At 54.1% G+C, this 24135-nt stretch overlaps 2 protein-coding genes and 1 long non-coding RNA gene across 5 annotated transcripts in view, besides 6 other annotated features; 2 read left to right on the forward strand and 1 right to left on the reverse strand.

The window, feature by feature from the left end:
• On the forward strand, nucleotides 258-7235 carry RPL38 (ribosomal protein L38). 2 transcript variants are annotated; one of them, NM_000999.4, is made up of 5 exons: nucleotides 258-325; nucleotides 498-538; nucleotides 710-770; nucleotides 5767-5889; nucleotides 6384-7235. In NM_000999.4, exons 2-5 carry the CDS (start codon nucleotides 536-538, stop codon nucleotides 6407-6409), a joined length of 213 nt encoding a protein of 70 aa, NP_000990.1. In that variant the 5' UTR covers nucleotides 258-325; nucleotides 498-535; the 3' UTR covers nucleotides 6410-7235. The 2 variants fall into 2 exon arrangements, with proteins under 2 accessions (NP_000990.1, NP_001030335.1); NM_001035258.2 differs by having other exon boundaries at nucleotides 258-290.
• Nucleotides 1006-1510: an enhancer, noted in NCBI's record as "NANOG-H3K27ac-H3K4me1 hESC enhancer chr17:72200565-72201069 (GRCh37/hg19 assembly coordinates)". NCBI's record gives its function as "activates a minimal SCP1, AML or CMV promoter by ChIP-STARR-seq in primed H9 embryonic stem cells {active_cell/tissue: H9 hESC(primed)}" and the evidence as "EXISTENCE:reporter gene assay evidence [ECO:0000049][PMID:30033119]".
• Nucleotides 1511-2014: an enhancer, noted in NCBI's record as "H3K27ac-H3K4me1 hESC enhancer chr17:72201070-72201573 (GRCh37/hg19 assembly coordinates)". NCBI's record gives its function as "activates a minimal SCP1, AML or CMV promoter by ChIP-STARR-seq in primed H9 embryonic stem cells {active_cell/tissue: H9 hESC(primed)}" and the evidence as "EXISTENCE:reporter gene assay evidence [ECO:0000049][PMID:30033119]".
• MGC16275 (uncharacterized protein) lies at nucleotides 6560-9901 on the reverse strand. Its single transcript, NR_026914.1, has 2 exons — nucleotides 9104-9901; nucleotides 6560-8262 (listed from the first exon to the last, which is right to left on the reverse strand). It is a non-coding gene; the product is annotated as an uncharacterized protein MGC16275 (long non-coding RNA).
• Nucleotides 7073-7122: an enhancer, noted in NCBI's record as "active region_12701". NCBI's record gives its function as "activates an Ori minimal core promoter by ATAC-STARR-seq in GM12878 lymphoblastoid cells {active_cell/tissue: GM12878}" and the evidence as "EXISTENCE:reporter gene assay evidence [ECO:0000049][PMID:35858748]".
• Nucleotides 10028-10187: a silencer, noted in NCBI's record as "silent region_8927". NCBI's record gives its function as "represses an Ori minimal core promoter by ATAC-STARR-seq in GM12878 lymphoblastoid cells {active_cell/tissue: GM12878}" and the evidence as "EXISTENCE:reporter gene assay evidence [ECO:0000049][PMID:35858748]".
• The window catches only part of TTYH2 (tweety family member 2), a 48450-nt gene continuing 34465 nt past the window's right edge, over nucleotides 10151-24135 (forward strand). Inside the window, exons 1-2 of one of the 2 annotated variants that reach the window (NM_032646.6) lie at nucleotides 10151-10296; nucleotides 19065-19237. In NM_032646.6, coding sequence (NP_116035.5) covers nucleotides 10168-10296; nucleotides 19065-19237 — 302 coding nt within the window. In that variant the 5' untranslated portion in view covers nucleotides 10151-10167. Of the gene's footprint in view, nucleotides 10297-12209; nucleotides 12293-19064; nucleotides 19238-24135 lie in introns of those variants that run through there. The other variant, NM_001330453.2, reaches the window with a different exon arrangement.
• Nucleotides 12446-12495: an enhancer, noted in NCBI's record as "active region_12702". NCBI's record gives its function as "activates an Ori minimal core promoter by ATAC-STARR-seq in GM12878 lymphoblastoid cells {active_cell/tissue: GM12878}" and the evidence as "EXISTENCE:reporter gene assay evidence [ECO:0000049][PMID:35858748]".
• Nucleotides 20552-21085: an enhancer, noted in NCBI's record as "H3K4me1 hESC enhancer chr17:72220111-72220644 (GRCh37/hg19 assembly coordinates)". NCBI's record gives its function as "activates a minimal SCP1, AML or CMV promoter by ChIP-STARR-seq in naive H9 embryonic stem cells {active_cell/tissue: H9 hESC(naive)}" and the evidence as "EXISTENCE:reporter gene assay evidence [ECO:0000049][PMID:30033119]".

A 24135-nucleotide genomic window follows, 5' to 3' on the forward strand; every position in this document is an offset into this window, starting at 1 on the left:
GGAAGGGGTGGACGGGGAAGAGGCGGGGGTCCTAGGAGGAAGGGATGGGGAGGAGCGAGAGGAGGGAGGCGGAGGGAGGGCGGCAGCCAGGATGGTCCATTCCATTCTTGGAGCTGCACTGTTGACTTCGACCACAAGGGGGCAGGGCTGCTGAAATTGGAAGTGCGAACGCCTACATGAGTCTTGATCCTCGGCAGGCACCGTACCCAGTTTCCTCCGTTGGGAGGGTTTAACTGCCCGGAAACGGAAGTCTCGTTCTTTTTCGTCCTTTTCCCCGGTTGCTGCTTGCTGTGAGTGTCTCTAGGGTGATACGTGGGTGAGAAAGGTAATCTGGGGCAATCCACTGCCAGGTGAAATCTGGGGACCCCAGGTCCGCGTGGAGGGTGTCGGGGAGGAGAAGGGGAGTGCGATGGGGCCGATATTTCGGGGGAGAGCGGGAAAACGGGGTTCGCTGCCAGCCCCCGCGCCGTGTTAACGCCGAGGACTGTTTCCCGCAGGTCCTGGTCCGCGCCAGAGCCCAGCGCGCCTCGTCGCCATGGTGAGTACAGTCCCTGCCTGGCGCCTTCCCGGGGTGGGCTCGTGGGGCCCCGGGGCGAGGGCGAGAGAGCCTCCCAAGGATCTCCTGAGGCCGGGAGAAGCTGGTGGACTGGGCCATCGCCGGGAGACGTGTCTCTTTCCTCTCTGTTCACCCGCTTCCTTTGTGTTGCAGCCTCGGAAAATTGAGGAAATCAAGGACTTCCTGCTCACAGCCCGACGAAAGGATGCCAAATGTAAGTGGTTGCTCCGAAGGTTCAAGAAGAGCGGTGCCTAGCCTGGCACCGCTCCGGGAGCGTCTTCCCCGGAATGTCAGGCAGGAGACGGTTAGGCCGTCTGGGTGTGTGCCTGGCCCTCTGGGAGCAGTGGTTTCATCCTGTTTCCCATGAGAAAGACCTGTGGGGGGCACGTTGAGGCCCTGGAATTTCTAGGACCATCTTTAGCTAATCGCGATCATCTCAGAGGCCGCCCTGAGTTCAGTTTTCTTTCGTATAATATAGTAAATTGTCGGAACGGAATCTCCACTCCGCGAAAGCCTCAAAACACACGTCCCATAAACACTGTTTAGGTTCTCTGCAGTTGTGCAAAATCTTAACACAAAATCCATTTTGTAATAAAGTGCTGGATATTTGCATGTAATGTATCGAGCACGGCACACTGTGTAGTATGGTCGTTTACCTCGTGATCCTGTGGTCGCTGGCCAGTGTCAGAAGGTATCATACCTATCTAATCCAGAAAAATATTTAAAAAAATTTTTTTTTTTCTTTGAGACAGTCTGGCTCTGTCGCCCAGGCTGGATTGCAGTGGTGCGATCTTGGCTCACTGCAATTACCGCCTCCCAGGTTCAAGCGATCCCCCTGCCTCAAAGTAGCTGGGCGCGCCACCATGCCTAGCTGATTTTTGTGTTTTTGGTAGAGACAGAGTTTCACCATGTTGGCCAGGCTGGTCTCGAACTCCTAACCTCAGATGATCCACCTGCCTCCGCCTCCCAGAGTGCTGGGATTACAGGTGTGAGCCACTGTGCCCCGCCAAGATCAAAATTTGAAGCAGGGCTTCTACTGAATGTATATCGCATTACCACCATTGTAAAGTCACAGAGTTTAAGTTGGACTGTCATAGGTCTGTTTCCCAGCTTGTACATACAGGGGAAAGAAGGTGATTAATGAAAAACCTTAAACAGCAGGTTTTCGATGGATAGGTGCCAATCTCTGCTGCCCACTTACTTAAATTTTTACACCAAGTGTGAGAGGTAGTTGTGTTACTCCTTTGTGATACTTGAAGGAGATTGGGGGGGCTTGTGTTTGATACAAGCTAGGTCTTGAGTTATGTTGTTACTTTAACCCAGTCATCTTTTTTCAGCTGACTGAGAATCAGGTCACATGTGGAAGTGAGGTTGCATGGGACAGGCCTGTTAAGGTGGGCTAAGACACCAGCCGTCTCTAATGCTCTGCCAGCCGTGGTGCCAGACGGTGGTTGGTGTACAGGGAGAGTCTTTCAATGAGTTGGGGGTAGGCAGAGATGGGGGTCATATTTGTGTCCCCATTACCCAAAACAGGCTGTCACCTTTGAGGTAGTGACCACCTGTGGGGACAAATAGCATCTGGTGGGAATGATGACTGTTGGCTAGTGTTTTGTGTAAAGAGATGAGGTTATCAGGTCAGTTTTATTTCAGACCATATGGGGTCACTGCCTAGTTTGAAGCCCAACTCTACCTGCAGGTAACTTACCCTTCTCAGCAAGTTAAACACGACACCACCGTTTGATTGTGTTTTAAAAGGGTGGTGGTCCGGGCGTGGTGGCTCATGCCTATAATTCCAGCACTTTGGGAGGCCAAAGCGGACAGATCGCTTGAACCAGGAGTTCAAGACCAACCTGGGCGACATGGCAAAACCCCATTTCTACTAAAAATAAAAAAATTAGCCAGGCATGGTGGCACACGCCTGCAGTCCCAGCTACTCAGGAGGCTGAGGCAGGAGAATCAGTTGAACCAAGGAGACGGAGGTTGCAGTGAGCTGAGATTGTCTCACTGCACTCCAGCCTGGGTGACAGAGCGAGACTGTCTCACAAAAAAAATTGGGAACCTTCATTTTAGATGATGTGGCTTTAAAGGTAGTGGTCACAGTCCCCTGGGGACAGTAAAGTGTCAGTAGCTGTTTGTTGAAAAAACTTTTTAAAATGGTTGTATTAATTTTTAACGTGTAATAGGCATAGCGTAAAAGTTACCATTTACACTGGGTATGGTGGTTCCCATCTGTAATCCCAGCACTTTGGGAGACTGAGGCAGATGGATGAGACTAGCCTGGGCATCATAGTGAGACCCTGTCTCTATAAAAGAAAAAAGTTAGCCGGGCGTGTGCTGGTGGTCCTAGCTACTCAGGAGGCTGAGGTAGGATTGCTTGAATCCAGGAAATTGAGGCTATAGTGAGCCACGATTATGCTACTGCACTCCGGGCTGGGCAACAAAGCATAATTGTACAGTTCAGTGGCATTCAGTAAATACACATTGTTGAGCAGCTGCCACCATCACCGCCCATCTCCAGAACTTTATCTTCCCAAACTGAAACTCCCTCTGTTAAACACCAGCTCCCCATTCTTCCCCAGCCCCTGGCAACCACCTTCCAATTTGTCCCTGAATGTGACTGCTCTGGATACCCCATACAAGTGGGTCTGCTATTGCATATTTGACCTTTTGTGACTGGCTTCTCTTCACATGTCCTCAAGCATGTGTCAGAATTGCCTTCTGTTTTTTCTTTCTTTTTTTTTTTTTTTTTTTTTTGACATGGAATGTCACTCTGTTGCCCAGACTGGAGAGCAGTGGCGGAATCTCAGCTCACTGCAAGCTCCGCCTCCCAGGTTCATGCCATTCTCCTGCCTCAGCCTCCCAAGTAGCTGGGACTACAGGCGCCTGTCACCATGCCGGGCTAATTTTTTTTTTTTTTTTAAAGTAGAGACGGGGTTTCACCGAGTGAGCCAGGATGGTCTCTATCTCCTGACCTCATGATCCACCTGCCTTGGCCTCCCAAAGTGCTGGGATTACAGGCGTGAGCCACTGTGCCCGGCCTGCAATTTGCTTTTTTTAAACAGGGTCTCACTCCTGCCCAGGCTGGAGTGCAGTGGTGTGATCATGGCTCACTACATCCTTGATCTCCTGGGCGCAAGTGATCCTCCCACCTTAGCCTCCAGAGTCTCTGGGACTACAGGCATGCGCCACCACACCTGGCTAATTTTTGGTGTTTTAGAGATGGATCTGTGTTGGCCAGGCTAGTCTCCAACTCCTGGCCTCAAGCAGTCCTCCCACCTTAGCCTCCCAAAGTGCTGAGATTACAGGCAGGAGCCACCACACCCAGACCGGAGTTTTCTTTTGAAGGCCGAGTTTTCCATTGTGTGGGTAGGCCACGGTTTGTTTATTCGTCTATTGATGGACATTGGGTTGCTTCTACATTTTCGCTAGTGTGAATAATGCTCTGAACATGTGTGTGCAAATATTCTTCTGTGGTTGCTATCTGTTCTTTGGGGTATATACCTAGAAATGGAATTGCTGCACATATGGCAATGTTGAGTAAACTTTTTTTTTATTTATTTTTTTTTTGAGATGGAGTTTCGCTCTTGTTGCCCAGGCTGGAGTACAGTGGCGGAATTTTGGCTCACTGCAAACTCTGCCTCCCATGTTCTCCTGCCTCAGCCTCCTGAGTAGCTGGGATTACAGGCGCCTGGCTAATTTTTGTATTTTTAGGAGAGACGGGGTTTCTCCATGTTGGTCAGGCTGGTCTCGAACTCCCGACCTCAGGTGATCCACCCACCTCAGCCTCCCAAAGTGCTGGGATTACAGGCGTGAACCACCGCACCCAACTGAATAAACATTTTGAAGAGCTCCATATGTCTTTACAAGTGGTGTTCAGCTTAGTTCAGCTGCTAGGGGCAGTGTTATACTGAAATAGGTTAGTTTGGATGAATATCCAGGTGTCTGGATGTATTAAGAACGAGAGTCCAGGCAGCCCGTGCCTTGGGCAGGCTCTGAGTCACAGTGCTGCTTCCTCTGATGTGCCCCATTCCTATAGTAGTTACTGGCAGAAATGGAGTTGCCGAATTGCTAGGACAAGATCATCTTGTGTGCGTCTGCCAGGTTAAGTGCTGTGTGCTGTGTCTGGCCAGGTGCTTTCGTTGAAGTGTTAGAGCCCATGTTCAGCCCTCAGCCACCTGCTTCTTGATTGGCACATCACTGCTATTATAACAAATCCTGGGAGTATCTCTGAGCAGTTTTTAAAGAGTTGGAACAAGGCATTCAGTGAATACATGGAGTGGTAACTACTCCTGGGAAGGGGTTGTCTCACAGCAGCCAGATGGCCATGCATTGATACTGCTAGTACATAACCAGAGTGGTGCACGATTCAAACCCCACACAGCTGAATTTGAGGTACACAGTAGCTGTTTCTTGTCTGAGCCATGATCCTGAAATAGAACTTGGCAGCAGGAAAGAACCCAGAAAATGGATTCCACATAAATTCAAGGAAAACCCTGGGTGCGTGTTGTGCGCAGTGGCTGGAGGCATCCTGAAGAACGAGCTCTTACTGGCCCAGAATGTCATCTCACATGCGGAGGCCTGATTTCCGGGAGTGGAGTGCTGAAAAGCGCTCAGTCCCAGCAGACAGCCCGTCTCCTTACTTTATCACTGCTTCTATCCCTTTTTAAAAAGATAATAGGCCAGGTGCGGTGGCTCATGCCTGGAATCCCAGCACTTTGGGAGGCCGAGGCCAGCGGATCACGAGGTCCAGAGATTAAGACCATCCTGGCAAACATGGTGAAACCCCATCTCTACTAAAAATACAAAAAATTAGCTGGGTGTGGTGGTGCACGCCTGTAATCCCAGCTACTCCAGGAGGCTTAGGCAGGAGAATCGCTTGAACCTGGGAGGCGGAGGTTGCAGGGAGCCAAGATTGCGCCACTACACTCCAGCCTGGCAACAGACCGAGACTCTGTCTCAAAAAACAAAGTAGAAATAAGAAAGATAATAAGGTTGATAGAAGATATTCTGTAATGTTGTGTTCAGTGTACCCAATAAAAGTCCCAAGTTGGAGGAACGGGTAATAGTGTTTTCTGTTTGCACAGAGGGATGGTACTGGAGGTGGGTGCTGTCTCCTGCATGCTGCTTACTGCTTGAGTGTATTTGCACATGGACTGTGTCACATCTGTTTTCTGTGATACAATTTAATTCCTGATTCTGGTCTCCGGTAGCTGTCAAGATCAAGAAAAATAAGGACAACGTGAAGTTTAAAGTTCGATGCAGCAGATACCTTTACACCCTGGTCATCACTGACAAAGAGAAGGCAGAGAAACTGAAGCAGTCCCTGCCCCCCGGTGAGTGAGCCTGAAGTCACTTCAGGGGCGGGTGGGGTTTGGAAGGTTGCTGTGTGTGGCCATGTTGTATCTTGTTTTGAATCCCTCTCAGATTTCAGAGCCCATTTTATGGTCTAAGAATCTGCTCTTGCTGTTGGGAGTGTGAGGAATAGTTGTGATTCTCAGATTATATACAGTACCAGAAATCATTTCCTTAGCCAGAAGAGCGGTTAGAGCTCATTTAATCCTGTTCACGACCCTTCGAGGTTGGTGCTAGTACTGATAGTCCCCATTTTTTACAGGGGAACAGATGAAATATAATAGACCAAGTCTTTTTATCGAATATAATAGACCAAGTCTTTTTATCAAACACTAAATATTTTAACCGAAACTTCGCTGGTGGATCTAATTTCTGAACCTTGTGTGCTCTCTTTAGCTTAAGTACAAAATTTAGACAAGCAGCAGCAACTCAGATGTGTCTTCTGGATGGCTTACTTTTGTCTCTTTCCCTCTAGGTTTGGCAGTGAAGGAACTGAAATGAACCAGACACACTGATTGGAACTGTATTATATTAAAATACTAAAAATCCTAAGTGTCTTTCGTCTTTGCGGATGGGAAAGGGAAAAATGCTACCTCGTAGTGGCTTCTGATGGGAACAGGACGCGGGTTCTGTTGCTGCCTTCCTGTGTCTTTTTTTTTTTTTTTTTTTCTTTCTTTGAGACGGAGTCTTGCTCTGTGGCTCATCCTGGAGCACAGTGGTGCGATATCAGCTCACTACCACCTCCGCCTCCTGGGTTCAAGCGACTGTCCTGCCTCAGCCTCCCGAGTGGCTGGGATTACAGGCACACATCACCACGCCTGGCCAATTTTTGTATTTGTAGTAGAGACAGGGTTTCACTGCCTGCCTCAGCCTCCCATAGTGCTGGGATTACAGGCATGAGCCTCCGTGCCCGGTGCATCCCTAATCTTGAGCATGATCTCAGTCGGCAAATGAGGCCATCTGTTTTCAGCCTGTTTGAAAATAAGATGTGGGGAGGCCATGATGGAAATAGCACGTGGGGTTAAACATAACTGGCAGATGTGGGAGCGATGGTGGGGCATGCCATTCAAACAGGTCCCAAAATGGGTGCAACAAGGTATAGCACATCTACCACTCGCTAACTTGACTGACTTGGAGAAATGACTACACTTTTGCCTGTTTCCTCAGTTGGAAAATAGCCATATTAACACCTCTTTCATTGGCTTGCTGTCAGGGTACTGGGATGGGGGGAGGTGCATGGGTTGGGGTGGCCACCAGGTGGTGCTGTGCCACAGCGGGCAGCCCCTCTGGAAATGACTGGCATCATAAAATCTGTCTTCATACCCGAGGTAGTGTTTTTTGTTTTTTTAAGATCTCTACCTTTTAAAAGCGTGGCATACAGTGTGCTTGGTATTGTGTTAGGCATTTAGACGTGCTCAGGTTGTAAGGTTGAAGTGCCAGTCTTTGAATATTCTGTAAGGATTGTGAGGGTGTGAGGTGGTTTTGAGTCTGGTCACGGGTCTTGTTTCCTCCGGGAGAGGGTGGGTACACCAGCCCTCAGGCCCAGGTGCGGCACTGTGGGCGGCTTTCAGCCTTTCCCGTTCTGTAAGCATTGCAGATTCCCAAGGAAAAGCGAGCCTTTACCATGTGGGTTTTCTTTGTTCCCAGCACATCGTCCAGAGTTTCATCCCAGCTCCTAGGAGACAGGCCTTGCAGGGGTGTGTCCAGCCTTGTCTAGAGAAGGCCGCCTTTCATGCAGTGCTTCCCAGCCCTGGCTTGTGACTCAGTCATCTGGGGCACTTAGGCAGTTCACTGTGGTGGCCAGGGCTGACTGGAGATTGCGATTGCGGTGGTCTGGGGCATAGGTGTGTTTCCAAGCTCTCAGGTGGGCCTCTGCTTTGCTGGGGCTTCAGCAAGCCCTTAAGTGCTGCATACCAGGTGAATGGGGAGGGGGGAGGTGATGGGCTACAGCTGCTGGTGTGCCGACTGTCCTCCAACTCCCTGCTGAGTCTGTGGGAGGTCTGTCTGTTGTGCTTCAGCTTTTTGACACCTCTCTGGGTCAGCAGGCCTCCGGGGAAGCAGCTAGAATGGTCGCTGTCTGGCTGGGTGCAGGTGGGCTGACAGGTTTGGATATTCCAGGCCGCATTCCGGTGGCTGTGGAGATAGCCCTGAGGGACAGCCTTTGCAGTTTGTTTCTTCCAGTGCCGTGTGCAGGCCTCCAGCCTTCTGGGGCTCCCTTGCCCCGGGTTCAAAGTCAGTCCTCGGTGACCACCCACTGCCTAGGAGGCAGGCCCTTCCCACCTGGGGGGCCTCTGAGGGCAGGGGCTGTAAAAGCAGCTACCAGAAGAGTCCACTTTCCCCAGCAACTGCAGGGACTGAGTCAGAGACCAAGACCTTTTAAAAGGAGGTTTTCACCCAAAGAAGTTCCCTCCCCTGCCGCAGTCTCCAAGCTGATCGCCTGGCTCCTGCAGTTCTCCGGCTCCCTGTCCTGTTCTGGAACTTGCTTGCTTCCCCTTCCACTGGCCTTAGTCCCTGATCTCACAGGGTCCTGTTCCTTCTGCACAGAGGCCTCCCCCAGCACCCCCCTCTTTGACTCCCGATCATCCTTCAGCTCATGTCACTGTCCTTTGGGAAACAACCCTGACGCCCACCTTCCATCCCCTCTCCCTACAGCAGGGACTCTGACATTTCACAAGGCCTGCAATCGCTGTTTGCAGGATACAAGTCCACCTCACCTCGCCTACTAGGCTGTAGACGCCATGCAGGCGGGAACGTGTGTTTTATCCATTACTGTATCCTCTAGAACAGAGAACGTGCTCAAGAAAATTTGTTGAAAGACACCCCAATGAGAGAAGAATGGCTGTTTCCAGCCTTCCGGGCCCCTCAGCTTTGGGCTCCTGCAGGGCCCCAGAACCGTGGGATCACGGCCACGAGGAGAGGCCCCGAGGCCAGGACTTCCTCTAATGGACACAGGGCCTTTGAGCACCGGGTGACTGGGGCCCCACTCCCCAGCAGCCATATGTGTTTGCGAGCGTTTTCAGTCGGTCCGCATCCACCCGGTCCCTTCAGCCAGAACCCTAGGAGCCCCGCCCCGTCCTCCCGGGGCTCCTTTCTCACCCGCGTCCCTGCCGCGGTGGATACGCACCCCTCAGGCTGGCTGCCCAGCGCGGTTTCCACGCCCAATCTGCCGCGACCCCATCACTCCACCGCACCTACCCCTGACTCCTGCTTGTCCTGCAGCCTGGGCTCCTCCCTCCGCTGGCCAAGTCACGCCAAGCAGTTTGCGGTTACAGGACGGGTGGGGGCCTCTGCATATGTGCAGAGTACGGAGGGCCCAGGGACGCGAGGCTCCCCGATGGGCAACCTCCCCTGCCTTTGCTTTTCCCCAGAGCCCCCTCCTGGCCTGCGTTCGGCATCTTCTCGGGTCGTCATCGCCCTCTGCGGTGCCTGCGCTCGGGGTGAGGGTTTTTGTCGGCTTTTGTTACATCACCGATGTAACAGTGCCTGGACGTAGTAGGTGCTCAATAAATATGTTGTTGAATGCGCTTCAGTCTCCCCGAATGCTTGTCCCTTCCGGGCGCTCTCATCGCTCTCCTACCTTCCCCGCTACACAGCTCGAAGGTCCCCTCCTCCGGGAAGCTCACCCTGTCCCACTTGCCAGGAAGAATCAAGCAAATTTTCTGAGTGAGACACCTTGTCCTCACTCAGGCGTCCTGCAGGCGGCTTCAGCGAGTTGTTGGGGCAGATGCGCCGGGAGCTCCCGAGGGCAGGGACGGCGTCTTATTTCTCTTTTTAAGTCCACAGGGCTTGCACAATAGATGCCCAAAAAATGAGAGTGAATTTAGAATGAGTGACCGAGTGGCTGAAGATTGCCTCCTTCCTTTCCCAGTCTGTCGGTTACTTACCCTGTGACAAGCCCTTGGGACGGGCAGTCGCCCCTCTCTGGCCTATGACTGCTGGCTGCCCCCACTGACACCTTATACCCTTGATCTGATCATAAATAAGAAGCAGCCCGGGGACCTCGAGACTGAAACTGATTTAGAGACTTCTGGGAGCTTTTTTCACTTCCCTCCTCCCATCCGGCCAGGACAGATCCCCGCCCAGAAAGGGGCTGTTGACTGCAGCGGGCTGCGCGCCCAGAACTGGGACTGGGATCGCGGCGGGGCGGGGCGGGCGCGGGCCCAGGGAGAGGCGGGGCCGGGGGCGGGGCGGGCACGGGGCCCCGGCCGGGAGGTGAGCGCAGCTGTCGTTCAGCTTGTGGGTAGCACTCGGGCCGAGCCATGCAGGCGGCGCGCGTGGACTACATCGCTCCCTGGTGGGTCGTGTGGCTGCACAGCGTCCCGCACGTCGGCCTGCGCCTGCAGCCCGTGAACAGCACCTTCAGCCCCGGCGACGAGAGTTACCAGGAGGTAAGTTTACGCCGCCCCAGACCGCAGCCACGCGCGCCCCAAGTCCCCGCACTACCCCCTCTCCCCTCGAGAGCCTGCACTTTCCCACGTGCCTCTCAGACCCCTTCTCTCCCCGCGCAGCCCTTTCCCGTCTCCCCTCTCCCCTTTTCCCCCACCCTCCCAGGCCCGTGGCCCGCGTCCCCTCCTGTCTGGGAACCTGGGGGCCGGGAAAACTGAAGAGATCAGAGTGAAGCGAGCGTGGGGAAGGGGAGGAAGGGCGCAAGACCGCCTGCGGGGTGAGGGGCTGAACGCTGAGCGGGCAGGGCGGCGCGGGGGAGGGGTAAGGACAGGGGCATTCGTCTCGGGGTAATCCTGGCGCGCGAGGTGCGGGGATGCTGAGGGGTGCCCCGAAGTTTTCGACCGTCTGAGATTCCAAGATGGGGCGCTCTCTTTCCGGGGCTGAGTGGCCTAGGAAAGTTTGGCAGAAACTGAGTAGAGTCTCCCGAGTCGGTCTTCGCAGCACCCCTCCTCCCCAGCCCCGGCCTGCAGGGTGGGAGTCTCAGCTGGAAGGCTGCAGGGCTTGGGGAAGCGGTGTGGGTCACTTCCCCTCTAGCGCAGAGAACCCACAGCTGCTTGCGCTTGTTCCAGGGAAGGAAGGTGGCCTCCGTCAGCCCATCTCACACTGTTGTCCTGAGGACCCCCTTGCATTGACAGTCAGCTTCTCTGTGTCCCCTGGTCCTAGACTGGCCCATTCCTGTTCCCCCACGCCCCTCTCTCTACCTCACACCTTTAAGCCCTGAATTTCTGGCCTAGGGCAGTCACTCCCGGCTTCCCCGCCCTTTCCCTACTCTGCTGACCCTTGGCAGGATTCTGCACCCCACAAACAGGGCCAGGGCTCCCCAGACCTCCCTGCCCAGACAAACAAAGCTGCAGAATCTCCCAGCCCGTCTCAGGTCTGGTCACGCCTGCTCTGGCCCCGGGAGCCCACCTGTATCAGTTCCTTGTGTTGGGTCAAAGATTCTGGGGCCAGTGGACCAGGATGAGGTCCATTTATTCAGAGCCAGGCGCCCATCTCAGGACTTTGGCCCCCGGCGGCCTCTCCCTGTGTCAAGTTCTCCAGATATGGGACAGATCAGGGCAAAGCAGGGCCTCTTGGAGGGAATCCTGATCCAGTGTGAGGTGCCCAAGCGCCAGTGACAGGGAGTCTAATAATAACCCCTGACGACCCGGCTGCCATCAGGCCCAGGCAGATGGTGCCTGCCCTACCAGAGGGAGGGGAGCATCAGGACCCCTTCCTGGGGTTCAGTGGGCACTCAGGAGCAAGACGGCAGTCGGTGGACCCACCCCCCTCCCCCAGAGCCCAGCCTGTGGGAGTCTGTGTTCCCTGAGAATGTGGCTGCCTGGGGATAGCTCCAGGGAATCTTCCTCTCCCAGAGAATGCATGAAAAGAGGCGGATATGATTTCAGAAACAGCCGTGTGTGTGTGTGTGTGTGTGTGTGTGTGTGTGTCCCCATCCCAAACCCTGTGCCCCACATCCCACACCCGGGGTCTCCAGCCATAGTTTTCTCCTCTCCACTGGAGGAAATCTAAACTTTTCATTGGGTCAAGAAGACCCCTAGGTGGGGGTAGGGATGGTAAGGGGACTCCCTCACCCTGATGGCCCCAGAGACAGTTCCTATCAGCCCAACAGCTGTGGCTGGTGGATCCTGGGCCTGCCCACAGCCCCCTCAGTCCCATGGGCAGGTGGCAGTTGAGCCAGATGAACCTACCTCCAGCCTCTGCCCCTCCTCCCAGGATTCTGGCCCCGGCTCACTTTGTGCTGGGCATCAAATGGTTCCAGAGGGTGTCCCTTCCCATCGGCCACTGCTCCTGGGCAGCTGACACCAGCCCTGCCCACTGGCTCCTGGTCCCGCTCACCCCCTCACCACCACTCAGATCGCTGAGTAGGAGATGAGCGTGGTGGGCCAGGACCGGAAGTCTGGCTCTGGGTGTTATTTAAGGTGGCTCCTGTTTTTGGTAAGTTCCCCTGTTGTGACCACAGGTCTCTCCTGGATGTCTTCTTTCCTCCTGAGCACCAGTCACTAACAGAGTCAGGTGGACCGTCGGTCATCCCAGTCTTCAGCAAGCTTGACTGGAGCAAGTGCTATGCCAGGCGTGGGGTGACCGTGGTAACCAAGGCAGCAGGTCTTCAGGAGAAATTGCTGGGGATTTTCTGCGGCTGGGCTCTGGGCGCAGTGCTATGGCAGACACCAAGCAGTTTGAGGTGGGGCTCTGCCCTCCAGTTGGCTGGGGTGGATTCCCAGTTCTTTCCATGTGTGACCACGGGTAGGTGTCTTAACCTCTCTGAGCCTTGTTCCCTTCATCTGCAAGAATTAGATGAGATATTCCACATATCATGCCTAGTACAGAGAGTCCCATAGCACATAACAGGAGCCAGTGACACAGATCATTCAATGGAGTGGCTGAGAGGTTCAGGAGTGTGTCTCAGGACAGTACCCTGCTGGGGAATGGAGAGGAAGGAGATCTCTTCCACAGACTCTGATTGGGGGAGACTGAACAAAACGCCTGCAGAAAGGGCTTCAGCTCATGCCCCACATGTTCAAATGCACAGTGCTGGCTGTGTGGGGTGTGGGGGGTGGGTGCGTGTGCATCAGAGACTAAGCAAGGATGGAAACAGGCAGGTGCTGGCCTTAGGATGTGGGTGGTGCGGGGGATCTCAAAGGCAAGGGGGTTCTTGGAAGTGCAGAGATGGTGAAGAGCAGGTCACCTGGTGAGCTGGGATTTCCTGAGCAAGTTCAGTGTTCCAGAACCTTCCTGAGGAAGTAGGGGCTCTCACTCACTTTCTGGGGTGTTTGGGAGCCGTGAAAGCCCCCAGTCCTCCTGATAGTTGATCCTCACCCCTCTCCCCCCAGTGAACTTGAGCCCAAGTCCTCGCAAAGGCCACTTGGCCTGTGTCACCAGCCTTGTGGGGAGGCTACCCTCCAGTGAGTAGAGGCATGAGAGGTGAGCACCAAGGCAGGGCTGTGGACGAGGGCACCTTGGCCCTGGCGGGCACCCAGCTCTGGGCTGCCAGATGTGGCTGTATGTCTGGAAGGAAATCAGCCTAGACCTGCAGCCCAAGTCTTCTCACCTTTGACAGATGAGGGGGATTGGATTTGGAGACGATTCCTACTCTAAAGAGATGATAAAAGAACTAATGAGTTCATGGATTATGAAGCCTGTGGCCAGTGCCTGGCACACTGGAAACTGCTACAATCACTGCTTAGGAAGGAGAAGACTGCAGCCAGCCGGTGTCCACTGGGCAGTGTTGGGGAGAAGGGAATGGGCACCTGGCACTGAATCCAGCAATGTCTCTCTGAGCAAATGAACGAGGCACTTCGGTGTCCCTGCCTGAGCGTGAGTGCCACCATCACCATCCAGCCAGCCCCTCAGGGGAGACCAGACACTGATGAGCTCAGTTCTTGAAACATCTTAGTAAGCTCCCAAAGGCTGTGCAAATGTTAGTTATTGCTACTGTCAACAGGCAGGTGGCCACATGTGTGCTTCCTGTTCCAGCTTCCCTTGCCCAGGATCAGCCGACCAGCTGCTCTTTGGGGACATGTGTTAGGAGGCAGAGGAGATGTTGTTAATTTTTTTTGTATTTAGGCATGTATTTCCACGTGTTCTCTCATTGGTTGGTTCCGTTCATAGATTCGCCAAAGTACAAAGTGGAGGGTACACAGTTGGGGACTGGACCGGAACTACAGGACTTCCTGCTTCTGACCTGGGGGCAGGTCTGAGGAAGAAGGACCAGGCAGCAAGCCCATCCCAGCCGAGATCTGAGAAGAGCTGAGGTTGGGATGAGGAAGCCCCATTCATCCAGTGTGAAATTGAGTCACGGTCATCAGACAGTCATGCCGCGCCTGGGAGAGGGCTTAATCTTTCCCAGTGGGCCTGGGAGGGAGACTCTCCCTCTAGGTGCTCCTAGTTTCCCTCTCCCAGCCTCCCCCTGAGACCGGCACACCTCTCTCTATGTCTTCTGGGGCCAGGGCTGTTGCCCCCTCCCCTGCCCAGTGCAGAAGCCCCTTGGGTCCCGCTGCCATGGTCACTGCGGCCCCCAACTTGGGTCCCAGCTTGGCACTCTCCGCTCTGGGTTTTTCATGACACAGTGACAAATCAGAAATAATTGAAGTCCCTTTGATGAGGGGAGAGGCAGAGTCTGAGCACCAGTGTGGGAGCTGGGGGCCTGGTGTTGCTGTGGGACAAGGAGGTGGCTGCAGGGCACAGTGGGAGGCGTGGGGAGGCGTGGGAAATTGTCTTGGCAAAGCTCTGTCCATCTGAGCAGGGGGGCCTGGAAGCAGAACTCTTGGCTCCCTCCTCCATTCCCCTCCACCTCCATGCACATGGGGACATGCAGTGTTAATTAGGAGCAAGAAAATAATTGCCCATTAGGAGCAGCAGGTGCCACCAAGCTGGCCCTGGAAGAGGGTGCTGCTGGTTAGGGGGAGGGGGGTGGGCTCCTACCTGCTCCTCTTTTCCCTCCTCCTTCCTCCTCCCTTGCCCACCTTCCCTCTTCTTTCTTCTTCCCTTCCCAATTCCTTTTCCCCCTACACCCTCTCACCCTGTCCCACCCACCACCCCCAGTTTTTTCCCAGCACCTAGGTAGGGTTCCCAGGAGGGTTTGGGAAGTAACTCCCTAACAAAAGGCTTCCAAAGGCTGGGCAGGGTGGCTCATGCCTGTAATCCCAGCAGTTTGGGAGGCCAAGGAAGGAGGATCACATGAGCCCAGGAGTTGAAGACTAGCCTGGCCAACATAGTGAGAGCCTGTCTGTATTTTTTTTTAAAAAAAGGAAATCAAAAAAAAAAAAAAATGCCTCCGAGTTTGGGTTTCTCAGGCCTCGCTTTCACTGGAGCTGGACAGCATTATCAGAAACCTAATTGAGGCCAGCTGCCCAGCTTGGAGAGGCCCCAGGCCACAGGGGCTCAGCGGCTGCCGAAGGGGGAGACCGGGAGGCTGGAGGAGGCTTGAGAGAGTGAAACGGGGGAGCAGGCTACATCACCCACAGCCTGATCCTTCTCGGACGAGCCTTCCTTGCTGGGTGGGGACATTGGTAGATTCAGGAGCTTTTCCCACTGGGGATAAAATGATAGTGGGACTGTTCAGGAGGCAAACTCAAAGGGTAGCTGGGGGCAGGCTGGATGGTAACTGGGCTTCAGGCTACACAGGTTTGTCTGGGGCTCCCTTACATTTTTGTGTTATTAGGAATAACTTGGTTGGGCGTCGTGGCTCACGCCCGTAATCCCAGCACTTTGGGGAGCCGAGGCAGGTGGATCACTTGAGGTCAGGAGTTCGAGACCAGCCTGGTCCTTTTGTAGTAAAAGTACAAAAAAATTAGCTGAGCATGGTGGCACATGCCTGTAATCCCAGCTACTCAGGAGGCTGAGGCAGGAGAATCACTTGAACCTGGGAGGCGGAGGTTATAGTCAGCCGAGATCACGCTGCTGCACTCCAGCCTGGTGAGAGAGCAAGACTCCGTCTCAAAAAAAAAAAAAGTACAAAAAAATTAGCTGGGCCTGGTAGCACATGCCTGTAATCCCAGATACTCAGGAGGCTGAGGCAGGAGAATCCCTTGCACCTGGGAGGCGGAGGTTGCAGTGAGCCGAGATTGTACCACTGCACTCCAGCCTGGCGACAGAGCAAGACTCCGTGTCAAAAAAAAAAAAAAAAGAATAACTTACAGGAAAGAGTGCAGTCTTAAGTGTGCAGTTCAGTTCAATGAATTTATACCCTCGAGCACCTGCGTGCGTGGTATGTGTGTGTGTGAGCAACACCATCCCAATCAGATCGTATTCCTGACCCCCTAGAAGCCCCCTTCGTGCTCTCTTGAAATCCGCACCCTCCCAAAGGTAGCAATGATTCGGTGATTCACATTTCTCTGGCTACTCATGAGTATCTCTGACTTTGAACTTCATATAAATTAATCCATACAGTTCTCTGCTGTTCCATGTCTGGCTTTCTCTCTCAACCTGACTTCTGGGAAATTCATCCCAGAAATACCGTCATGTGTGGCTGGTTTCCTTTTCATGGCTGTATAGTATTCTAAGACTATAACACATGTTCTATATCTTTTCTCTTGTTGGTGGACGTTTGTGTCTTTTTGGGTGTAGGCTGTGACTGCTGTGTGAAGCTGCTGTGAACATTTGTGTATCTTCTGAGGGACACAGCCCTCCTTTCTGTAAAGCAGAATTGCTGGGTCATGGCATGCATGTTACACAATGATTTGCAATTTTTTTTTTTTTTTGGCTTGGTTGGGGTTTTTTTTGGGAGGTTGGGTTACTTTTTTTTTAAGAAATGGGATCTCAGCATGTTGCCTAGCCCAGGCTAGACTCAAACTCCTGGGCTCAAGTGATCCTCCCATCCCAGCATCCCCAGTAGCTGGGATTGCAAGTGCATGCCACCAGGCCTCGCTGGTTTGCAAATGATTAAGAGGATCCCTGGGCTTTAGCAGAGAGGCCTCAGGGGCTGCCAAGGGGCGGCCAGGACAGAACGTGGCATTTCTATCCACTCCTCACTCAGATGGAGCTCTGTGTTGCAGGGCTCTGCTAAGCAAGTCAGTTTGAAGAAAAAGTTAAGCTACTGGAAAAAGTTTGAGAACTTCTGTTGACACTAATCCAGTGCTGCCCAGACTTTAATGGAATATATGTTGCCTGGGATCATCTCTAGAGGCAGGTCTGATTCACTAGCTCCAGGGCGGGGCTAGAGATTCTGCACCTCTAACAAGCTCCCAGAAGATGTCAGGGCCACAGGTCACAGGGTGGTAAACTTTACTTCAAGGAAAGAGGCTCTCAACTCCCAGCTGTCTTGGCCTCCTCTGCCTGGGCCTGGGCTGCAGGGCCCTCTGGTGAAGGGGCATGGACTGAGGACCAGAAGAGGGGCAGTGACTTTCCACCATCTCTTTCTATCCCTGGGCTTGCTGGGGTCAGTCCCGGGGACAGGCCATGCTAATGAGTGGTCCAGGTGGGGAGAGCCCCAGCCCCAGCCCCCTGCCACACTGTGAGGTCTTTGGGAGAGGGAGGTGCCCAGATCTACTGGGCCCTGGCTTCCCAGCTGCCACTTTTTTTTTTTTTCTAGAAGGGATCTCCCTCTGTCACCCAGGCCGGAGTGCAGTGGTGCAATCATGGTTCACTGCAGCCTCAACCTCCCAGTCTCAAGCGATCTTCCCACCTCAGCCTCCTGAGTAGCTGAGACTACAGGCAGATGCCACCATGCCCAGCTAATTTTTTATTTTTTATTTTTTTGTAGAGACAGGGTCTCCCTGTATTGCCCAGACTGGTCCTGAACTCCTGGGCTCGAGCAATCCTCTCACCTTGGCCTCCCAAAGTGCTGGGATATAGGCGTGAGCCACCACACCTGGCGGAAAGCCACATTTTCCAAAGTCAAATCCATCTGTTCCCCTCCCAAGTGAGCCATCTCTCCTGCCTTTTTCTGGGCTGCCCCCATCACTTCAGCTGAGAAGTCTGTCAGCCAAGAGTGACCAGCAGAGCAGTCCATGTCAGAGGCCCGAAGACCTGCCCGCATCTCACAGGGCTGGCAGCGTGGCCTCCAGCAGGTGTCTGTCCCCCTGGAAAATGGCCCCAAAGCCCCAGACTGCAGAGCCCGGCCTTGGTTTGTCAGGTCTATCTCTGTGTGTGCCTGTCCCTGCACAAGTCTCGTCTCCCCCTTAGACCGCAGGGTCCTGGAGTACCCCCTTCCTGCTGATTGCCACCCCCTGCATAGGACTCCCTGAAACAGGCTTTCCCCAGCAGCACCCCCAGAGCACTAGGGATTCGGGACTGGGAACCCCTATTGGGGGTGCATGGGAAGCAGGGGCGGCTGTCAGCTCAGGAGCCTGACTTAGAGCCAGGTCCAGCCCTGGCTGGCGGCCGCCAATCCCGGTGCCATCTGGTGCCTATCTGGCAAAATCAAGAGATGAATGAGCAGAGAGTGGCACCAGGCCTCCTGACAGACTGGCTCCCATTGCAGGGCCCCGAGGTGCTAGGCAGGCCTCAGGCCCCTCCGGCCCCCTCAGAATTCTGGCTTTGCTGCTGCCTCTGGCACTGGAGGTTCAGCTGTCCCTGGTGGGGTGCAGTGGAAGGGACTCCAGAAGTTGCATATCCTGACTATCCCGCCCCCTCACACATCCCCCAAGCATGGAGCTGGCTTCTCGATTCTCAGGATGGACCCCAACACCTAGAACAAGCTCTTCACATTCTGGTAGAGGATGATGCCCAGCCTGGGACAGCGGGGTCCTTGCATGGAAGAGGCAACAGATACACAGGGCTGTCCTTCCAGGCCCTGCCTCAGTGGCACTCAGCGCCCGAGGCCTCTGGGTACTCTGGTCTTGGACGGTATCCCTCTCCTTGCCTTTTTCCCTTGGCCATGGAGCTCACCACCCACAGCCCTCCCTGCTAGCTGGGGATTCCTGCCTTGTCTCCTGAGTGGCTCGGACTCTTCATCAGCAGGGCCTGGTCCGTATCTTCATCCAGGGTCTGAACCAGAAACCGGAGACCAGCTCTGGCACCCCTCCCTCACTGACCACGAGGCCCACCACTTGGCCTCATGCCCTGTAAGCTCCATCACTCCCACCCAAGTGCCTCAGCGCCGGGCCCTCTGTTTACAGAGTAGGAGCTTGAACCCTAGGTGGAGCTTGGAAGGATGGACGAGAGATGCAGCTCAGGCAGTGGGGCACTCAGGGCCCAAGGGCAGGGCACTTCCAGAGCCCCGCACTGCAGGGATGAAGAGTGACAACAGGCCTCTGCTCTCTTCCAGTCGCTGCTGTTCCTGGGGCTGGTGGCCGCCGTCTGCCTGGGCCTGAACCTCATCTTCCTTGTGGCTTACCTGGTCTGTGCATGCCACTGCCGGCGGGACGATGCGGTGCAGACCAAGCAGCACCACTCCTGCTGCATCACCTGGACGGCCGTGGTGGCCGGGCTCATCTGCTGGTGAGTGTCCCTGGACGCTGGGCTTGGGGTGTGTGACTCAGTCTGCAAGGGGCCAGGGACTGTTTGACCATGTTCTGACGGAGCTCCAGCTACCTTGATGGAAAAGCTTGTCCCCAGATGAATGTTGTCCCTTTTTTTTTTTTTACCAAGCATCAGGAATCAGATGCCTGGGGTGGTGATGGGGTCTCCAGAAAGGTCTCCCAAGTGGCCCCCCACAAACCCTGCCCCAATGTGGGTTTGTCCTGTGCCCAGCAGCTGTGCAGGCAGCATTTCTGCACCGACACTGGGCATCTCCAGTCTCTGTCCCTGGCCCCTGCCAGCTGCTGCCCTGGGTCTGTGAGGTCAGAAGAAAGTTTGACTCCAGCACAAATCAATTCCATCTTCTTGTGAGATCAATAGCTTTTAGTGCCGTTAGCCAGTTCTTTGGTTTGGATGAGGAAGGGAGAATTTCTTTTATTTATTTATTTTAAAGATGGGGTCTCACTCTGTTACCCAGGCTAGAGTGCAGTGGTGCGATCACAGCTCACTGCAGCCACAAACTCCTAGGCTTAAGCAATCCTCCCACCTCAGCCTCCCAAGTGGCTGGGACTACAGGTGCACACCACCATGCCTGCCTGGCTTTTTTTTTGGGGGGCGGGGGGTGGGCGGGGAAGAGACAGGCTTTCATCAAGTTCCCCAGGCTGATCTCAAACTGCTGAGCTCAAGTGATCCACCTGCCTCAGCCTCCAAAAGTGCTGGGATTACAGGCGTGAGGCACTACACCTGGGCTGAGACTATGTTGCTCAGGCTGGTCTTCAACTTCTGGCCTCAGACATTGCTCCCCCCTCAGCTTCCCAAAGCACTGGGATTACAGGCATGAGCCACCATGCTGGGCCTTAAAGTGAGGATTTATAACTCCCGTGCAGGAGTCCATACCCAGCCCACCACACTGCCTGGCCACTCCACCCCAGCTGGCGTCCACATGCATGCTGGCTGTTTTCAGGAGTTGTTGCGTTTTTCTTGTTTTTAAATCTATAATGATTTTTCCAAAAGCCTCTAGTGTCCACGCAGAGACGCTTCTGGGGTGTGGTCACCCCAGAGAGTAGAGTCTCCCACTACCTGGCAGCAGGCTGGCAGCCAGGCAGGTCCTGGTCAGCCTGGGGGTGAGGATGCCTGGGCTCTCATACCCAGGCAGCTCACCTTGCCACTGCGAGTTTCTTCTCTGTTGGAAGATGTTCTTGATCTCGTCCTGCCTGTAGTGGGAGGCTCACCTAAGCCAAAACGCAGGCGAGACGCTAAAGCAGCCTTGTGGGGCGGACAAAGCTCTGAGCACAAGGAAGGGGACCAAGGCTGCTGCAATACATGGCCGGGGCTGAAATAAGAGACTCAGAGGACAGAGTTCTGGACAGGCCGGGAGGTCACAGTCGAGTGCGGTTCCCAGTACAGTGGAAGAGCTTTGAGAAGTGACTGGTGTTAAAAATCCTCCTGCATGGCCGGGCGCGGTGACTCATGCCTGTAATCCCAGCACTTTGGGAGGCCAAGGCGGGTGGATCGCCTGAGCTCAGGAGTTCGAGATCACCTTGGGCAATGTAGTGAGACCTCACCTCTACAAAAATGAGCCAGGCATGGTAGTGCATGCTTGTAGTCCTGACTGAGGCAGGAGGATGATGAGCCCAGGAGGCAGAGGCTACAGTGAGCCATGATCGCTCCATCGCACTCTAGCCTGGGTGATGTGAGACCCTGTCTCTTACACACACACACACACACAGATACACACATACATGCACACACACAGATACCCACACGACAAACTTGTTTTGGAAGAATACTTTGGAACAGTAAGAATGGCATGAGGAGTCAATTCTTCTAATATGGAAGAATTATCTGCAGTGTAGGGAAAACTCAAGGTGGAAGGAATGTGCGTGGCAGAATCCATCCCACAACATTCTGGGCGTGACTTGTACCAGGCAAGAGGGCACCAGCAGTAAGAAAACAGGCACCAAGTCTGCTTTCATGATCTGTCAGCAGAGGCTGAGAACTGTGTACCAGTTTGCTTTGAATCATTGCAACTAAAGAGAGAGGGCTGGGCGTGGTGGCTCACGCCTATAATCCCAGCACTTTGGGAGGCCAAGGTGGGTGGATCACTTGAGGTCAGGAGTTCGACACCAGCCTGACCAACATGGTGAAACCCTGTCTCTACTAAAAATACAAAATTAGCTGGGCGTGGTGGCGAGTGCCTGTAACCTCAGCTACTTGGGAGGCTGAGGCAGGAGTATCATTTGAACCCGGGAGGCAGGGGTTGCAGTGAGCCGAGATTGCGCCATTGCATTCTAGCCTGGGCTACAGAGTCAGACTCCGTCTCAAAAAAAAAAAAAACAACCAAAAAACTAAGGAGAGAGCTCTGAAGGAAAGGAGCAGGCATAGAAGTGGATGGCCCACCTGAGTCCAGGCGTTCCTGGGTGACATGGGCACCCAAACCCATAGGATGAGAAGGCGTTAACTTGGCAAAGGTGGGGGCAGGGGAGGCGGAGACACCTCCAGGCAGAGGGAAGAGGAACGTGCAAAGGCCCAGAGGCAGGAGCGAGCATGGGGCTAAAGGAAGCCAATGTGGCCAGAGCAGAGGGAGCAGATGAGGGGGTTGGGGGCACTGTCGAGGGTCGGGGTGAGCAATGAGTGGCAGTGGGATGGGGAAAGTGTCACGGGGTCAGAAGACACAGGGGGCAGATGGGATTCAAACCATGAAGCAACTCATAGGCTTTGTGAGGGGTCGGGGTCTTTATTCTAAGAGCCAGGGGAGCCACTGCAGGGGCTCTGCAAAGAGGTAGCGTGACCCGATAACTCAAGTTGAATGTAACCCAGGCCGGCGGGAGTATTCGGAACAGTGGGACTTGAATGTGAAGAAGTGGCCACCGGGTGACCGAAGAGCTCAGAGGCCTAATGAGGGCAGTGAGCGACCTTGGGATTAGCAATAGCAGGAGCCACCACCACCTGCAGGCCAGAGGGACACAGGGAGAGGCTATGTCACCAGGGAAGCTGGAGCCACACAGCCTGCCTATCAGCGGCTGCAGAACGAGGGGAGCAGGGCCCTGGCTGCCTTACCACCACCTCCAGTCTCCTACCAGCACCTCCATCGGCAGAAGCCAGCTGGCAGGGGAGCCCGAGACATTCCGTGTGAGGGATCAACCCCTGTAATGGAGAACAGGGCAGGGGACAGAGGAGGGACAGGTCCAGGCAGAGGGTCGCATAGATGCGGGCAAGAGTAAAATCAGGCCATCAGGGAGGCCCAGCTGGAGAGCAGCGGGCTTACACCTGGGCGTGGGCAGTGACCAGAGGGGAGTGCCCAGAGGAAGAGTCAGCTAGGGAGGTTTGGGGAGGAGCTGCTGAAGTTCATCTGCAGGTTTCTGGCTTAAGCCCCCGGATGGGGTGGCAGTGCTATCCTCCAAGGCAAGGGACATTGGCAGGGAACCGGGAAGAGAAGCAGACAGTCAGTTTGGTTGTACACAGATTGAGTTTAAGGTGCCTTTGAACCATCCAAGTGCAGTTGGAGTTATAAAGCCAGGGTCATGAGGGTGGCCAGTGTGGAAGTCACACACATGGGTGACCTGCCATAGGAAGCACAGAGTGAGAAGAGAAGGGGGCTGGGGCCAAGCCTGGAGGAAGCACAGTGTTTAACAGCTAGGACGCAAAAGGTGCCTGTGAAGGAGACCAGGAAAGAGTGTCCCACAAGGAAGGGCTGGGAATGCCACAAGGGCACAGGAGTCACTGGGCAGCGTGTTCCAGGAAGAGGAACCAAGCTGACCACTGCACGTGGGAGGGGGGTTGGGAAAAACCCTTGGGTTAAGTGGGAGGTCATTGGTCGCCTTCCTTGGAGCTGCGTCCACTGGGACACAGGAACAGCCAGATTGGTGTGAGTTATGGGAGGGGCAGGAAGGAGAGTCGGGACAGCAGCAGGAGAAGGGATGGAGGTAAAGGTTGGGGCACTGAGGTGGGAGGACACATGAGCTCTGCTGATGTGATTCCACCTGAAAGCGGGGGATTGAATCCGCAGAAGAAAAGACCAACAAGGGGTTCCTGAAAAAGCAAAAGGGATAGGAGGATATACCTCTTTGTTCTCCTCTATTATGGGGGAAGGGTAGTGATTTTATATTTGGGAAAGAGTAGTGTGAACACACCAGGGGGAAAGCAACACCACCAACTCGCTTATTCTCCCTCAAGCAGAACAGTTTTTCCTATGGCCCAGGTGGGATCAATGACCCCAGGAGAGACCAGGAGAACCTCATTAAACAGCCAAGGCGATTTTTCTTTCTTTCCTTTCTTTTCTCTTCCTTTCCTTTCCTTTTTCCTTTCCTTTCCTTTTTGACAGAGTCTCACTCTGTCGCCCAGGCTGGAGTGCAGTGGCACGATCTCAGCTCACTGCAACCTCTGCCTCCCAGGTTCAAGAGATTCTCCTGCCTCAGCCTCCTGAGTAGCTGGGATTACAGGCACTCGCCACCATGCCCCGCTAATTTTTTTATTTTTAGTAGAGATGGGGTTTTGCCATGTTGGCCAGGCTGGTCTCAAACTCTTGACCTCAGGTGATCTGCCTGCCTCAGCCTCCCAAAGTGCTGGGATTACAGGCTTGAGCCCCAAGGCGATTTCTGATCCCCAAAGATGAGGTGTAATTTCACAGCCCCTCCTGGCCCATCGCTGATAAACCCACAGGGCCCGAGAGAATAGAAGGATGGGAAAATGCTGGCTTCATATTGAATCCCTGGAAAACACTAAATCGTGACTCAGAGAGCTAGAAAAGGATGAACACAAGGAGTCGACAAAAGGGCTTCTCAGAGCACAATACAATTGGTTCATTTTCTTTTAAATAAAGTTACAAATTGGAGGGTCACGGGAAGACAATTCATTTAATGTATAAATATCTCAGCTGA

The sequence above is a fragment of the Homo sapiens genome, chromosome 17 (assembly GCF_000001405.40).
Source record: "Homo sapiens chromosome 17, GRCh38.p14 Primary Assembly".
In the NCBI taxonomy this organism is placed as follows: domain Eukaryota; kingdom Metazoa; phylum Chordata; class Mammalia; order Primates; family Hominidae; genus Homo; species Homo sapiens.